Source organism: Homo sapiens, chromosome 18, assembly GCF_000001405.40.
Source record: "Homo sapiens chromosome 18, GRCh38.p14 Primary Assembly".
Taxonomy (NCBI): domain Eukaryota; kingdom Metazoa; phylum Chordata; class Mammalia; order Primates; family Hominidae; genus Homo; species Homo sapiens.
The window spans coordinates 38,694,579-38,713,002 of record NC_000018.10 but is presented as its reverse complement, the minus strand read 5'-3'; the positions used below and the strand labels follow the sequence as shown (position 1 = coordinate 38,713,002).

At 37.5% G+C, this 18,424-nt stretch overlaps 1 long non-coding RNA gene across 1 annotated transcript in view; it reads left to right on the top strand.

Annotated features, from left to right (window-relative positions):
• The window catches only part of LOC105372076 (uncharacterized), a 38,317-nt gene extending 20,300 nt beyond the window's left edge, over nt 1-18,017 (top strand). The window contains exon 4 of the long non-coding RNA XR_935395.2: nt 17,560-18,017. This is a non-coding gene — a long non-coding RNA (uncharacterized LOC105372076). The remainder of the gene's footprint in view (nt 1-17,559) is intronic.
• Nucleotides 18,018-18,424: the final 407 nt, after the last annotated feature.

The window sequence follows — 18,424 nt, the reverse complement described above, 5'->3', positions numbered from 1 at the left end:
AAGTCATTCTCAGATAGTTAACTGCATTTGGTCCAAGATAAACTGCATGAAATGGAGCATTTGGGTCATTGGATAGATGTGGCAAATAGCAAAATATAATAAACAGACTCCAGTCTTCCCATCCAAAACCCACTAAACAAAAGAAGTACTTTGCGTGGCTGCCACAGACACCCAGATAGGTTTTTATTTCTAAATATTGTGATTAATCTTTCAGTGTCCAGGGCTTGGGGAGGACCCAAAACATCACTGCCCAGTGAACTTCTGTAAACTCACATCTTCATTAAGGGTGATATAATCTATACCTTTGCAGATTCGTTTACCCTTAAACCGTCCAATTGTCATTTTATGGGAGGTGTTTAGGGCCCCTAAAGCTCTGAACTATTTTAATGAGCCATCTCAGGCTTCTGTTTCTTTGTGAAAACAGTAAAAAATTGGGGCACCTCTTCCATAAACTCTACTAAGTAATAGAGGATGAGACAGGAGCCTAGGTTACATGACGCAGTCTCAATCATATTTCTGTGTTGGATTGGTCCCTTGATGAGAGAGTTTGAATACCCAAAGTTTCCTTATGCTCAGCTTCTATACTCCACTGAGGTCACTGGCTTCCTTCTATACAACACCACCTCCTCCTTTTTCTCTCCCTCTGGCAATCTGTTATGAACTATTCCTTTTGCTCCATCAGGAAATTTCTCGGGATGTCCACCTAGTCCTGTCCACATTTCCTACTATATATTGGTCAAGCCCATGGAAAATCTAAGCATTTCTGCCCCACACCAGCCCCCACCACACATATATGAAAAAAATTGACATTTAACATGTGAATCTTGGTGTCAAGTCCTGGCTTGCCTGACCATGAACTGTATACTGTTAAAGAATACCAGCTGGGATCTGGGACAAATCTGTGGGTCTTGCATATCAGCACAGGTCCAACAGAGATGGGGAAGAGAAGCCAGCCTCAGCCTGGTAGATTCGTATCCTCCATCCTTCCAACATGACCATATAGATGAAAAGAAACCTCATGATCCCCTTTATCCATAAAGAGGACAAGGAAGAGAGACAAAAGGAGAAAATGCTATGAAAATTACCTTCATCAGATTTTTATCCTCCAGATGTCTTTTTTAGCTATTTTTCTATATCTTCTGAGGCTGAAAGAGCTATATCCACTTAGCTGCATTCCAGCCTTATAGTGGATACTGAGGTCTAATATTGCTTATATTTTAATAGACAATAAATGCCATCTCTTTGCCTGTGCTGTGAGTTGCCTACAGAGTAGCCCTAACCCACTCTCTAGGCAATAAAGAATCTGATGTGGGGCTCCACAACCCAAATAACAGAGGAAACACAGAGATAAGGAAAGTGTGGAATGCTCCAGAAGAAATCCTGTGTTTAAGGAGTGGGGGAATCATGTGTGCAGCAGACTGCAGGAGATAAGTTACACAATCCAAAAATTCTGTTGGAACCAGTAAGGCTGTGTGGAAATAAAATTCTGCAGACTGTGAAACGTTTGGTATCCTCCCCCACTCACCTTGTCCCATTTCTGGCCCTGGAAATGCCCAGAGTCTTTTAGCCGGGCTCTACTGGCATGCCCTCTCTTCAGCCCTCGCACCTACAATTGACCCATATTAGTTGGCAAGAACAGAGTAAGAGTGCCACTATATTTGCCCACTATATTTTGTGTGACCTATTTGTTATACCAACATAGGTATATAAGTAAGTAAGATGTCAGGGTGGAGTTCTCTCTCCATCCCACATCATCTGTGACATTGGGAAGTCACTTAGCAGCAAGGATGAAATCCCTATTACCTTATCTGTGAAATAGGATGAGAGTAATACCTACCTCATTGGGTTATTGTAAGGATTAAAGGAGATAACATGAATGCTTAGAAGAGTTTCTGGCACATCTTAAGCCCTCAATAAATGTTAGCTGCCATCATTATTTTTATTAAACGATTATGGTTTAATATGTAACACTTCCCAAGGGAATTTTAAAGGATTTCAATTCTCGAACCCAGAAGTATTGGGTTTCAGTGATGGAATTCCAAACACCTTAAAAAGCCTATATGGCTACAAATTCAGGGCTTTTTTGGTGTGTGATCATGGAATTATAATCTGTCTGTCCACGTTTAAGTTTACTAGTGGATCCATGTCTGAGGTTAATTTATTTTTTTAATTTCATCTCTAAACTAAAGATAGTTTCCAGTTTTCAATGTGATTTGAGAATGTGGGGACTTGGAAGGCATAGCTTTGAACAGCATTGGCCTATAAACAAATGCACTGAGGCATGTTACTGAAGGCAGGCTCTGCATCTCAGGAAGGGGCATTAATTCATTTTTATGCAAGAAAGCCCATTTCCAATTATTAATGAATATTTTTAATCCTGAAAATATCGTTCAGACTTAGTCACACATCACTGAACCCATTTTGTTTAAAAATTTAAAAAAAATCATTGTGACTGAGGTTAATCCTTGCTTTTAGATTTTCTTTTGAAACAAAGAAAGTATAGTGTTCTTAATAAAGGCAACTATCAAGCTTTGAACTAAGTATGTTTAAAATGGTCACAAATAAATTCCAGTGTCCTAATTTTAGTTTACACATCAAACATCTATGTTGATGTCTACCATGCTGTCATTCGTGTATACATTGATTTGTTTAATAATTCATTCATTCTCAGCATACATTTGGTCCGGTAAGGGCTACCAAAAGAGGTAAACACTACAAAACAGCAAAGAAAAGCCTCTTAGAAATACTTAAAAATTGGAATAATCGAAAATGTTAATGAAACAGTCATTATAAAAGTAATATCGAGATCAATTAAAGCCATTGTTGATGTAGAAGGGGATCCCTGGAACTACAAGGAGGAAGAAAAACATAATAGAATATAAAAAACTATTTTTATATGAAAATATACTATACATGACAGCAAAACTCAAACAACAGATTAGGAAAGATACAGATGAGAAACAGTTTAATATTTTTAACACACATACAATTCCTATAAACCTGTAAGAAAAAGAATCTCTATTTAAAGGTCTGCCTTAACGTTATTTTAAAAATATTTGTACCGAGGTGATAAAATTGTTCTGTTATTTCTAGCCATTGGTCAAAGTGTTTGCACTCTGTACTCTGTAATGACAGAATAAGCATGGGAGATGGGACATGGGGGGGGGGGGGTAAGAAATCATGGTCCAGTTCAGATGCTCAAGAGTGTGTATCTATTGATCTGTTTTCAAAATGACTGATTTTTAAAAATAAAAATATTGCTCCTTTCATTAATCACCAATCAAAACTTTCATCTATTAGGACCATTCATGATTTCCTTCACAATCATCAGGGTATTGTTTCACCCAGCAACACAAATCAGGTTTCATATGAAAGAAAATAGGTACCTCCCTTCATGTTGTCAAATGCTCTCTCACACAAGAAAACTCCCCTTTTCATAAAAGTATATACAGTGTTTCTTCTACTTGCCTTAAATATGCATTAGCGATGTGTCTGTTTTACTAGGCTCACTTTTATTTATTTTTTATAATTTCAACTTATGTTTAGGATCCAGGGGAAATGTGTGCAGGTTTGTTACATGGGTATATTGTGTGATGCTGAGGTTTGGAGTACGAATCCTTTGTGTGCTTACTCAGTGCATTAGTCATTTACATCATACTTTGAATTCACCTGATCACCGGCTAGACAAATACAAGGAGAAAATTCGTACATTGCTGGCATATAAGAGTGTTAGAAATGTGGTATAGGAGAGGCAAAAGGAAATTGCACAACTTCGGTCCAGGCTATGAGTCTTGCCCTTCCCCAAATCTGACTTCTCTTACCCCATCACCAAGTTCTAACAGCTGTCTGAGGAATGGTGACTTATGGCCAAGGAGAAACTAACTGTCAATGCTGTCTGATATTTGGAAAACATAAAAATTCTCCTTGTATTTGTGTAGTCATCATTTTCCAATTTCCTGTGATCCAAGTTATTTATGAGCTTTTTAGTGTGGCCAGCACGGGGCTGAGTACGGCCCCCAGAAAAATGTGGTTATAGACCTTGATGCCTGCTGGTTAAAAATACACGGGGCTCTTATAAATACACAGACACTGCCTCTGGTCACTCACAGGGCTATTATCCAGATGCATCCCTGCCTTACCTTGAGGATGTTGTTCTCAGATTACAGATTTTACTGTCCTTTCTCTGACCGTGTAGAAAATAAAAGAAAAAGGCAGAAGGAAATGAAAAGAGACCAACCATTAGCCTCACACAGTTCATGACGGGCACAGGAAGAATAGAAGAGCAGGGGACGACAGATGGGGCCAGGCGGGACGAGGTCGGAGAGGAGTCAGGTTCAGTGGAGGAGAGTATGAAGCCATAGGTAGCTCTGGCCATACAATCAAAGAAAGTGTAAGCACATCTGGGGAGAGAAGGAGAGTAAGTCAATCACAGTAAATGTGACAATGTGTGAAACACCTCCAATTCCCACTCTAGGCTCTAAAGTTATTTGAAATACATTTTTTTCTTTCCTACTTTATACTCATATTCATCTTGAAGAAAATCAATTCTAAAGTAAAATAATAGAAAACCCAAATTTTGCACAGGAACTGTGGAGTCTAAAGTTTTAACGTTTATAAGAAATGGCAGCACCAGGTCTGGTCTTATGCATGTGAAAGTCATGGAGCTCAGGGTTTTGGAAACCTGGCCTTTACCCAGCATAGCCAGGAGCTACTGAGCACAGTGCAGCCTCAGCTGGTTTATGATTCTCAGAGCAAACATCGCCCAAGTGGAGCTGCTCTTCAAAAGTTCAATTTACAAGGGGATAAATATTATTTTGGAAAAGAGAAAACAAAAAAAGTTCTTAACGAAATCTAATATATTCTGGAAACAGTCCTAGACACTAAGGATGAACTACCATGAACACTCAGCAGACAGGAAACTTACCTTCATATGGCATAGACTCTATTGGGAAAAATGGTTGCTGAACTTTGGTGGTAAGTGCTATAAAGAAATCACTGCAGGGTGGGCAGACAAGTACTGATGAGGGATGTTACTATATATATGGTAGTCAGGGAAGCCTGTTCTAGGTGGGTGACAATGGAGCAGAGATCTGAATAAAATAAGGACAAAAACCTGTGGTATTAAATGAGTCCTACAAGCAAGACTCTTCTTCCTATTCAAGTTCAGAGACATGAATTAAGAAATGGAAATTAAGAGATGGGAAATGTATCAGTCAGCATTCCAGCAGGAAGGATATGCCACCCTTTAAAGGGTAGTCAAAGTGGAATTGGTTTAATGAAGAGATAATTAACAAAGGTGTAATGGGTTAAGGATAACCAGCAAAGTGTTGACCATCACAGGACTAACAACAGGGGAAGCCACATTACCCTTAGACCTGGAGATCTGGGTAGGGAGAGCAGTTATCAGTCTGGTCAAGAGAGAGAGTTAGAAATGGATAGAGAAAGAAAGCGAGAGACAGACAGACTGCAGAATAGAAGTTGTGGCCTTCAGAACAAGAATGTAACTGTCCTAGTCTGTTTGTGCTAAAACAAAATGCCACAGACTGGGTAATTAGTAAATAAAAGAAATATTATTTGTCACAGTTCTGGATGACAGGGAGTCCAAGGTTAAGCCATCAGCATTTGGTTTCTGGTTTCTGTTCCTCATAGATGATGCTGTCTAGGTGTCCTCACATGGCAGAAGGGGCAAATATGGTATCCCTACGTAGCAGAAGTTAGAAGAGCAAAATAGGGCCTAAGCTAATTTCCTCCATCCCTTTCATAAGGCATTCTTCCATTCATAATAGCAGATTTCCCGTGACCTAATCACTTCCCCAAAGCCCACCTCTTAATACCGCCACAATGGAGATTAAGTTTCAACACCTGAATTTGGAAGAACATTCAGACCGTAGCTGTAACTACTGCCAAGTGATAGCCTTGCAGGAAAAGAGTGGGAGGAAAACCTCAACCTCACCTTTCTCCTATCCTCTGATCTTATGCTGGTGCCTCCCATCGGTCAAAGCCAAATGGAAAACAGCAGGCAGAGAAGCCCTTGACAGAGAGCAAAGGTGAAAGTTAGAGAGTAGGTAAGAAAGCCAAATGGAAAATATCCAGTATGAACAATTTTTAAAGCATGTAGCATTCAAAACAAAACCTTTGATACTTATAATGCTGATATTAAGGAACTGGAAGTGTATGGATTCTGATGAAAAGGAAATATGCATGTCTTGGATCACTGGGAAGAAGGGAACCAGTGCTGAAAGGGAGCACTAAGAGGAAGTACAGAAAGAGTAGTAACAGAAACCCAAAGCATACATCATTTTCTCTGCTCACAATGGTTTCTAGAGCTGGCTGTCTGCTCACAATGGTTTCTAGAGCTGGCGAGGGGAAGGTGGATAGAGTCCACGACACTATAAGCCGTGTTATTTCCAGCTGCCTCTGAAGCCTTGGGTTTTATCTCTGATCTGCAGTGTGCTGTCATGTTCTGCGATTGTAATAATAGCAGCAGAGATAAGCACTTTTGAAATAGATTGCTGTGAAGATGAATAGACTGGATGGCTTCACAGCACCTTTTCCAGTTGCAACTTTCATGTTAACTAATGCAACATTTCGTTTATTTAAAATGCACTGAGATATTCAAAATAAGAAAAAATTGTTCTTAGCTGGACTTTGATTAAAGTAATGGGTACATTTAATCTGTTTCCACTAATTAGAGCAATTCAATTTAAAAAGAAACTTGGTTACCCCAAATTAAATGACTATCTCTAATTGAAGTATATAGGTGCAGTTTAAATTAGCCCTATAGCAATGACCTCAAGTAGAACTCTTAATAGTTTGTCCTATTGATTTATGAAAAATTCTTGTCATCTAAGTGGTAATATCACTGGACCTACTTAGGAAGCACATGTGTTTTCGCAAATGAAGAGTGAGTCGTATAACCCAGGCAGGTCCCAGACCTTCATTTTGCCAGATGAAATAGTAACCCAACCCTAAATCTGTATCAAGTACGTGCTGTGTATCAGGAGAAGAAACTAAAGCTCAAGGAGTTTAACCCTAATTGACTCTATTAGAGACAACCAGGGACAGGAACTTGGAGAATCTTTGTCCTAGACTTGGATTTTCTGCATTGCCCTGAACTCCCTTCAGATTTCACAGTACACTTCCATTCCTGAATAGATTTGTGGGGAAGAGACATTTCCCCACAGGGGTCGGCTAGGTGATATAAATGTGTCTCTCAAAAAATAAACACCATAAACGGTGTGGCCTGTGATAAACTGAAGAGGATAAGTTTCTCATTAAAGTATGCACATCCAATTTAAAAAATAAAACAAAAAGTATATTGTCACTGAAGCATATCTGTGGGCTGGATTCGGCCTGAGACCTGCCAGGAGGCCCACCTTGAAAATTAGGCTTCTTAGAAAATAATTCTTTCTCTACAATTGTGCATGATCCTAACTGAAACCTTTCTCTCCTTCCCTGCCTACAGTATTGTCTTTCTTATTTAAATGACTTCATGTTTTTCACCACTAAAATTCTGTGTTGATATTAGCAAATTTTAGGCATAATTCATTTTCAAAATGGCTGCCCACACACTGACAGAAAGAGAAAGGTAGGATTGAATTTAAGTATTTACATGGGATTCCAAAGTGTTTCTGATATTTACAATAAATTGAAATACCCATAAGAGTAGAGGCCAAGAGAAAACTTACTACTTTATGTACTTCCTGAAGCATAACATATATTAAACATCCCATCGTGCTGTCAAGTGCCAAATATTCAGGTCTATTTCAGAGGGGTCCAATGTTTTGGCTTCCCCAGGATACACTGGAAGAAGAAGAATTGTCTTAGGCCACACATAAAATACACTAATGATAGCTGATGAGCTAAAGAAAAAAATTGCAAAAAGGCCTCATTGTGTTTTTAAGAAAGTTTATAAATTTGTATTGGGCCACATTCAAAGCTGTACTAAGCTACATGCAGCCCATGGACCATGGGTTGGACATGCTTGTTCTATGTGTTCAACGGGAAGTAGTAGCAACTTCTGGAAGAAAACAAAGCCAAACTTTGTAACTATGCCGAGAAATGATTCAGCATGATTTCATATTTCTGCACTTAGCCTGTCTATGCTAGAGTCTTATATTTGAGAAATATGGCTAAAATATGTTACAATTAGAAGTTTTTGAGATAATAAAATCTGCAAATAGCTATAACTACAGCCTTCCCTCTCTTGAAAGGTGTAGCCATTTTATATGTCTAACAGAATGATCCACTGTAACATGGAGAGAATCAGATATTCCATAGACATTGACTGTCACAAAAATAAATTGAATAAATGAGCAGTTGAAGTTTATAATTATGTCTAATGGACTTGTCTGTAAGTCATACACATAAACACACACAGAGAACTATTCCTCAATAACTCTGGAAATATTTAATCCTTAATTTATGCCAACTGAAAATTTAGGCAGGGAATAAAAATCTGATAATGTATGAAATTCCATCCTTGAACACTTTTAGGAAGTTTTTCAATGCAAATGCTTTGTATGTCTCATATCAACATCTGCATTTTCATATTTCCATGCATACAAAGTATGTATTGAGTAACATGATATTTACAATAAATTTGAATACCCAGAAGAGAGAACACATACTGTCTGCTATGAACATAGGAGAAATGGTTCTCTCTCAGTTTTATCTTCAAAATGTTCATAAATTAGTTAGGGAAAGAGGACTTGAACATAATAAAATTACTAAATTTATGAGTTTAATTGTTGAGTTTATAGTATAAAAAATAAGTGCTATTGTTCCAATATTGTACCCTGGTGGGGATAAGATTGTCCCATGGAATAAATACTTAGTCTTGTGGTAGACTAGGTGTTTCATCACTTATTTAAGAAGCATATGTTGAATTCCCATGCTCCAGGCAGTGGGTTCTTTGCTTTGTGGTGACAGTACAAAAAACTGACAGTTTCAGTCTTTAGGAATAAAGGAAGGTATATACTCGTCTTGAAATATGGGTATCATGTGGTTAAGTGGAAAGGGGATGGGGAAGGCACTCCAGAATTATGAAAGCAGGTCACACATGTGGGAATGAATGAGTGAGTTGGATTTGGAGAAGAGCCTGGCTGAATAATTTATTAATCAGATGGGTAAGAGGTATGTTTATAGATAGTCACAGCCATATTGCAGAAGATCTCCTTAAATTTGATATTTTTCCCATTGAAAGCCACTGTTTATCAGAACTTTTTTGAAGTCTATGTCTTACTCCTTTGACTTTACCTCAGCAATCTAAGGCAAAATAATTATGATACAATTGATAGTAATTATTGGTATTGATACATATAGTACCTATTTCATTGCATTATCTCATCTTGTCATCTAAATAAGTCTGGGGAAAATGGATAGCACTGTTACTACCTTCTTTGAATTAGGAGGAAAAAGACAAACAGAAAACAAAAAGAGGTTCACCTTTGGTTACTTAGACTGCGGCCATGCACAGATGGCCAAACTCCTAGCCTAAGACCCTTGGAGCAAAAAACAAAAATCGTAAGTGTGTTAAAAACACATATATTGTAAGTATCAATGATTGAAAAAAAAAACAAATTTCAAAGTTTAAACTAAAAGTCTTCATTTTATATATTTTTAATTATTTCTACTGTATAAGTAACTGCTATAGTCTGGAAAGTCAGTCTATCTGAGCAGTAGCCTTATTTTACCCCAGGAGCAGGCACAGTGCACTGTTTATTCTGAAAACCCATACTTTAATCCCATAATCTCCCTTCATTACTTGGTTAGCATGTCTCTGTGGGTTGACACAATGTGTGTGAGTACTGGGAGAGAAGGTTATCAACTAGAAAAATCCCTTGATCATTATCTGAGCTCGATATGGCCTAGAACCTAATCGATCACTTTTTAAAACAATCCAAGTAATATAGTGAGAGATGGGGATTGGAGGAAGAGTCCATTTAATGACAATAAATAGCCATGTCTCAACTCTGCTACCGGATTGAAGTAGGGATTTATTGAAATATGTATGTGAAATTATAAATAATTTTCAATGAAGAAAGAATGATAGGATGAACTGGAAATCCATACTCCTAGCCCTCTCCAAGGAAATGGGAGGATTTTGATTTCCAAATAATATAATCAAAAGTGGCATCACTACTCCTAGAGGGAAAAGAAAGCTGGTTAAAGATGCTAAGAGCCAAATTCTCTATACGATGAAGGTTTTTTTTAATCTTTCTTTTCTTGCTTTATTGAGAGGGTCAACATCAAAATCATGCTAATAGGGGAATACATTTTAATCAAATGTTGTGTATTCTGAGAAAACCCAGTGTTTGTATCTTGAGTAAATGAAAATCAACCATTGATTTTTCCAATATAGAAGCTGATTTTAAGTGATAACACCTTCCCTACTTTTATAAGTAGAAATCTCAAGGTTGTAGAACTTAATTTCACCACCTTGCAAACCTTTCCATTATTGTTTGACAAAATTTTATGAAGTTTGTCATACAATAAAATCCCAAGTTTATAAAATCCCAGAAAATATCTAGGGACAAGCTTTTTCCTCTTCTATGGGAAGAGGTAGAATTTTCTTGAAAGAAAGGTCTATGTGCAAAAGAAAAAGGGAGGGAGAGAAAAGGAAAGAGGGAAGGAGGAAAAAGTGGGAAGGGAAGAGGGGGAGAGAGAAAAGATAACTCATCAGTAGGAAGCCTGAGAAAGACTTGATTCTCTGAGTCAACCATCAATCCTGCCTCAAGCTACCAAAGAGTTTCCTAGAAGACAGAAGAGGAGTACCTTTCTACTTCAAGTCACACATCCAAAGATACTGTATACTATTTTTATTAACAATGTTAAATATGAAGTTGTAATCCGTGAGCAGCAACGAGAGATCTGGTTGCAAACTGAGTCATGGTTTGTCGGTGGTAATTATATGGTAGGATCATATTTGTGTTTCATATTCAATAGATTTAAAATTTTGATATATCCAGCAAATAGCAGACTATCAGGAACAGACTATTGCCAACTATTTTCACTGGAGACCAAAATGAAAAACAGAATTCTGAATCATATAATTTCAATAAATGATTGGTCTGATGGAATTAATGCATAGAATGATACATTTATTCATTTTATTCTCAGAGAAAATATATATAATTTATCCACTGAACATCAGAAGATCTTACTAAAGAGAGTCAGAATAAAGAGATTAGTGTACACTGAAGCACTGCACAATTAGATCCTCCAAAGAGGATAGGAATCATAGCTAACAAATACTGAGTGTGCTAGGTACTGGTCTAAGGTCATTCCATGAATGTATTCACTTAAGTGGGGTGGAGGTGGGGGGCTCAACTGTTACTTCCATTTCACACATGAGTAAAAGAGGTGTAGCGAGATTAGTCCACTTGACAAATGTGATACAGGTAGTAAGTGGATGATGCTGGATTTACTGCAGATCGTCTGGCAACCTAAGCATCCTAGATGCACAGTGATCTTTCTGCTGATTGAGACACAGAGCTTCCAGTGAGGCATCCGAAAAGATGAGATCTGGAACTCCACATCTTGACAGCTCCAGCTGGTTCTAGCAGAGCCAACACAATGATATGTGTATTAATGTCCACTGAGCCTGGACCCATCCACCGTAACTATACCATAGAACAGGAAGTGTTGTTCTTATGTTTGTCTTCACCAATCATCTAGCATGGATAGGCCTGCAGTTAATATTTTTAGTTTATTACATGGATAAATCAGTAAATCAGTAAACCACTGATTGGATTAGATATTTAGGCAGCTGGACTTGGCCTGAAGCTAATCTCTGAGGTGCTCTCACAGAACCAGGGTTTGGAAACTCCTTAATCACTCATACAATTTTCTGTGGAATATTGTAGAGGAAGACAACTTTCCACATTTCTTTTCCTTTCACTTTTCCTAATTTCATTCTAAGTGTTTTGCGATGATCTTATTGTCACCATATCACTTACCCCAAGAAAGCCACACAGACCTCATGATTGTTTTGTTTTCTTTTTCTTTAGAATGTAGTATGCTTATTGACTTGTAGACTAGCTGGATTTCCATAGGTAATCTTTTGCAGGACTTGTATTAGCATGTCATCCACATAGGGATCCATTTAGAATCATCATGAATCGATTTGCTAGAGCTTATGTTTTTTCAGTCTTTGGAATTATATCCTAGGAAAACAGAAAACACATTCTTTCCTGCTGTATGAAATATGCAGGAGACTACTTTGGGTTACAGTGCTCTTTTGCATTCGCACAGATGCTGAAAAGCAAATTCTCAGCTGGTCGGTCTCACTTAGAAGGTGTGCTTCACTAATAACTGTGTATGGGGGAGCACTGCCAACTCAAAATATAACAAGTTAAACTGCATGTTTTATTAGCATTATTCTTAATGCTAATGTAATGTCTATCCACGAAGGCAGCATTGTTAGATTGTTAGTACAGTAGATTGTAATGACAAAAGGAATTAGATGGGTTTTCTATGTTAAATCAATCATTAAGCAGTGCTATAATTATTTGCTGTTGGGAACGCTCTTTTTTCTATTGTAAAATTGACACAGTCTATGAAAGTAATTGCTGTGTTTTCATCCTAGGGCCCTTTAAGATTAGAGTCTGGGAGGAAGATGTGGCACTTCTAATCCTTCTGACATTTCAGAGGGACTATCCTGGCAGGAATAATATCACATCACCATGTAATTAATCAGTGCATTTTTCCTGTGGTCTGTGAAACCCATGTTTCCCTCTGTATTTGAGAGACAGAAAGGTGGCATGTTCGAACCTTCTGTAGCTTTAAGTACAATGTGATTTTGGGTCCAATTATATTCTTGGCCAATTTGACCTTTTCAGGTTGCATATTCAGACCATTTCACTTATTCGGGGGGTTGAAGATTTTAGGCATCAATGTATGTGGGTTTGAAATCATTGGATACCTGTTTCCTTCATTTCCCTGTGAATAAGAAAGTCTTAAAGAATCTAAGCTGGTAATGATGACATTGCATTAGAAAAGAAAAACCTTTATTAGAGAAAATGGCATGCCTTCACCTCACAGATAAGGCCAGCATAGCAGGAACCTTTGTTAAAGTGCAATAACTCTCTCCTCTCCTCTCCTGTCCTCTCCTCTCCCTCTCTTTCTCTCTCTCTCTCTCTCTCTCTCTCTCATGTGTGTGTGTCTGTCTGTCCCTGTCTGTCTCTCATTCTATAATAAATGTAAAGAACTTATATATCTATGTGTGGGATTGTGATAAAATAATCTATGTTTACTTTATGGGTAATTTGCCTTTGAGATAGGTACACCAAACTATGTGTGGTTTTGATGTTGCATGGTATTATCATTAATATTAATATCAACAAAAATGAAAGAGGGACTCTTATTTGCAGGGTAATGGAGCAGATACTGTGGGAGATGCACAAGAAAAGGATATGATTTCTTTTCTCCCAGTCCTCCAAGAAAAACACACAGCAACTAGTAGCTAGAGTAGAGAAGAAAATATGATAGGATCATAGAAGTTGAATAAATGTGAATTCAGAGAAGAATAAAATATCATGTGCATAGGATATTCAAAGATAGATTCCTGTAAGAAGTGAGATCTTTATTTGGATCTTATTTTGTAGAAAATGAGAAACTCATGGATGTTTTTAAGTAGAGTCATACTATGTGAGAAGTAGTGATTTAGTGAAATTAACGTGGAGTCATTGTTTGAGTAGGAGAGGAAACACAGGAAATAAAGGGAGTAGGTTACCTGCTATGAAAGGTTTCCATCTTAATAGTGTAGGACTATATGGCGTCCCTTAGATCATGGGAATAGTTAAGTCTGAAATAATTAAATTAATATATATTGAGATCTAAGGGCGAGCACTTCAAGGAGATGCAGGAAGCATTCTGAGTGTCCATCATTAGAAAACTTTCCAAAACATTAAAACATTAAAGTGCACATGGTGAATGAATGGTATATGTAAGCATTGAGTGTGTGTGTGTGTGTGTGTGTGTGTGTGTGTGTGTTTGTAAATCTGACACTATAACTTTCATGTATTTTATTTCATTCTATTTTATCCTTCCAACTCTTGTCAAGTGGTTAATATTAACCTCATTTTATAAATTTGGATGCTGAGATCCATTTGTTCAAGTCAAATAAATAAAACAAAACAAAGTGACAGAAATAGTACTCAAACCCAGGCCTTCTGACTCCATATATTTTATTTTTTCCACTCAGAATTTCCAGGCTACAAGTCAGGAAAGGGAAATTTATTAAGTCTCTACATGCAAATGTGAAACTTTTGTAGTTAGTTATTTTTCAAATCTGTGCTAATGAGATAGATTGGGAAGCAAAAATATGGGCTTAATTGCAGTTCACAGGGTGAAAATGCACTGTGACTGCAAAAGGTTCTTGTCTGTGGCAGGTGCTGCTTAACGATTCATCATCTATTAAGGCGAGACCGTGGAAAAATACAATAAGGCTGTGATTTTCAAGAATCATAATTCAATTTTTCAAGGAAACAGAATAGATAGTGTGGACTTTATGAGAAATTCAGAAAGTATTTATGACTCTTTATTTGGTTGGCTTTTATTTATTTGGTTGTTTTTCACTTTGCTGTCTCCTCCCTTAACCTTCTCACAGTCAGGGATTTTCAATGTATGTATATTCATATGCTCACCAAAGGAGGCCTGACTTGCCCTCCCAAGGGCAGGCCTTTGTTCTAGCAGGTCTTTGATGTCCCTTGTACTGGGTGCTTCCCTGTCGGTCCTTAGTTCTCTTTGTTTAGGGCCCCTGATTTCCTCAGTTCCACTCCCCACCTCAAATCTAAGCTTATTAGTCTCTCAGCTGCAGTTTCAGCTACACCCAGGGCAGGAGACATGAGCCTCAGGACCTCCCCTCCCCCGATGGGGGGACTTCAAGATAACATCATCATCACAGCAAGGTCAACCTACTGGACAAAAATCTAACCTCTTTATTTTCACAGGATTCCTCAGGTCCCAGCTAAACCTTACCCTACAATATCCTGGATCTAGGAATGGAGCTCCTGACCTTAATCACCAAGGCCTGATGCTCTCTATGGTCTTCATTCTTAGACTGACCTTTTGCTTTAGTCCGTGTCTATTACATGAGAAAAGGATTTGGTTCTTTGTTTTTTCCAAAGTATTTTCTTGGGGACTGGAAAATGTCTCATAAAGCTCCTCACTGACACAATGAACAAGACACAGCACACACATGAAAATTTTCATTAAAGAGCTGCAAAGAGAAGAGATATTTACCCTGAGATGCCTGGTTTTACCAAGAATATTAGCAAGTGAAGAAAGCAAGCCACAATACCTTTTACATGATTTCAAATGTCATGCAATAAAACACCAGTCCACAAATTTACAAGAACAATTACAAAGTAATATCTATTAAATGCAGTAGAAATATTTCCTCTAGGATGGGGGTTATGAGAAGACTGAGTATGAGTATTTTTGTAAAAGCTAGTATATCAATTAAGAGATACCTCTTGTGGCCTTATGATCAAGATGTGCCTTTATGTGAGTAGTATGACCAAGTGGAGGCTCTAATATCTGAAAAGGCAAAATGGAAAAATAATAAAAATAAAAAAGAATGGTGGTGGTTTATTATCACATTTTCTTCTAAATTTCAATTTAACTTTCACTTTTAATTCACCATTTAAATCAGGTAAATTCACTCTGCAAATATAATCAAGGGATGTTCATATTGTATTAATAGATTGCTTTAGTTTTTTAGTTCTCACAACTTAATTATTTAGCGCCCAATTCCCTTATTTAATGTTAGCATATTAAGGCAAAATCTAATTTGCAGTAAGCAGCTTGAGGCCACAGAATCACAAAAAAGAGTAGATGGAGGCCTGTGAATATGTTGAATTTTTTATTTTGTCAGTGCATCTAAGAAGCTGATGGATGTAGTCTTGCGTCTTTCAGCATTTCGGTTGAGTAAAGCAGGGTAGATATTTAGCAGGGATGCTTGCATTTTAAGAATATTTAGTAGTTCCCCGTCTGAATAGGGGGCAATGTCTGTCACTGGGCCAAAAATACATTAGATATGAGCAAAAAATAAAGGAGAAAAGAATTACACAAGAAAAAATGAGTAAAATTTTGTCGCATAGAAGATGATTGGTAAATAAACATTTACAGGCCATTTCTGCTCTAGCAGTGTTGAATGTATCTAATCTACTCATGACGCCCTCCCTGTTCATACTGCTGTATGTTTCTACCTCAGAATATATTCTTAGACTGAGGTGGAGACAGCTAAACTAAGTAAAAGGTAAATTAAGGCAAATTAGAAAAGATTTATTCAGAACACCTATTATGGGTCGGCCATTTGCCGGACACTGTAGTTGACAATAACTGGAAGAGAATCCTCATCCTCAGCAGCAATCCTGGTAAGGAACCCCTCAGTGCTTTTGGGGTTTAGATAATCACTAATTCCACCCCCCATCACCCCTCACATTAAACAGCTGTACAACAATGTGTCAGTGTGGAGTCAAGAACTGCTTTGGATCTTTACATAAAACCTGGAGTTGCTAGAGGACTTAAACATAGAAGCAATGAGGTTGTCAACATGTAGGGAAGGTTTGTTCTTAACTGCTGAGTGACTGGAGAGGCTGTGGCTAGGCAGGAACAGTAGAGTAACCTTGGCATTTGGATTTGAAGGGAGGGATGTAGAGGGATGTTCAGCTTGAAACTCTCCCAAATGCTTTATGAAACCATATGAGTTTGGCGATTATAAAAATAACACTCACATATAATGATTGTCTCCTCTTAAAATGAGATCTGAGCGCCAGTTTGAAGCTCCAGTGATGGGTAATTCAGTGGAAGCTGCCTTTGGCAACTTGCAAAGAACTGTCTGAGGATACAGCTTTGCTATTTCTTAGTAATATTTGTCTTTAAGGAGAAGAAATGAGTCACGGTCAAATTTCACAAGTCCCTGCCTTAGACTGATTGAATCATCCACTATGCCCAGCTTCTAGCCTCCTCTAAGTCAGTCTAATTGAAAAGAAATTCAGATTTTGAGTGACTCTAAAACAGATCATTAATGGAAAGGCTGAAAGAGAGATTTGAAACCAGCTTTTATATTCCAATTACAAGAAAATTTACAGTCAGCAAGTACTATGTTTAGATTAGCCTATTACATGTTAAAGGAAGTGGCCATGGTGGTTCCAGCAAAGAGTTCACTGAACTAACAAAACACATCTCTATCCAAACTCACAGGCTTCAAAAGCATATGCTCATTCATAGACTTCACTGTGGAACACCAGAACGAGTAATTGCTCTGAAGACAGACAGTCATCACTTTAAATCTCTACTCTCCTCTTTGTCATTTATTATCTATGTAACCTTGGACATGTCTATTCAATTGTGTTAGTTTCAGAATGCGTATCTGTTGCAGAGTTGCCATGTTTATCAAGTGCGTTTTATAGTTACCTATTTAGCACAGTGCCTCAAATAGGGTAACCTCTCAACAAATGTTAGTTACCATTATTATTATTATTATTATTATTATTATTATTATTATTATTATATCAGACATTATCACCATTGCTTTTTTCTTCCTTGCAGGCAAAACTACATTTCTCTGGAGTGCCCAATCCTCTCCAATGTGACTTGGATAATTCTCAATAATTTAAGCAACTTGGAGTCCTAATGTTTTTTGCCAGAGACTAATTTAGAGTTTGCCAATGGACTGTCTCTGACCAATGAAGAAGTGAGGGGTGGTCTCCTGGGAGCTTCTTTGAAAGGTTCCCTCACTTCACAAAGAACATGAGGAAGAAATACTTGCTCTTTTGAATGTTATGTTCCTGTATAGGGCACCTAAACTGATATTGCCATGGGCATCAATGAAGGACATTAGGCAAAGGCAAAGACAACATGTAGAGAAAGATAGAACTAAAAGGCAGAAGCAACCCACGTTCAAACGTCATCATGAAGCCACTGAATTAGCCTAGTAATGGACCTCAGTGCTTAACTATTATTGAGATACTTCATTTTCTTTATTGTGTAAGCTAATTTAAGGCATATTTTCAGCATTCTGAATCTTAAAGCATCCTAAATGATGCATTATTAAATAAATATTATATTTTTCTCCAGGCCCCGACCCTTCTATCATATAAACAGACATATGTAGATGTGTGTATAAAAGCATACACACAATAGAAAAAGGCTGACATATAGAACAGCATGCCAGCTTAATATGTGGCCCTACTAAATGATAAGTCTACTAAGAAAAATCTGTTTTATTTTATTTGTCTGGGATTGGCTAAGAGTCTCATATGGTAAATATTCTGAAAAAGGCAGTATTTTCTCTCAAATGACTTATAATCAAGCAAAGAGCAAAAGTGTATAAACAACTTTCATGCAAGTCTGTGTGTAGTCTGTATCTTAGGAGAGGTATAAGACTGAGAAAGGAAAGATTGCAAGGGGTGGC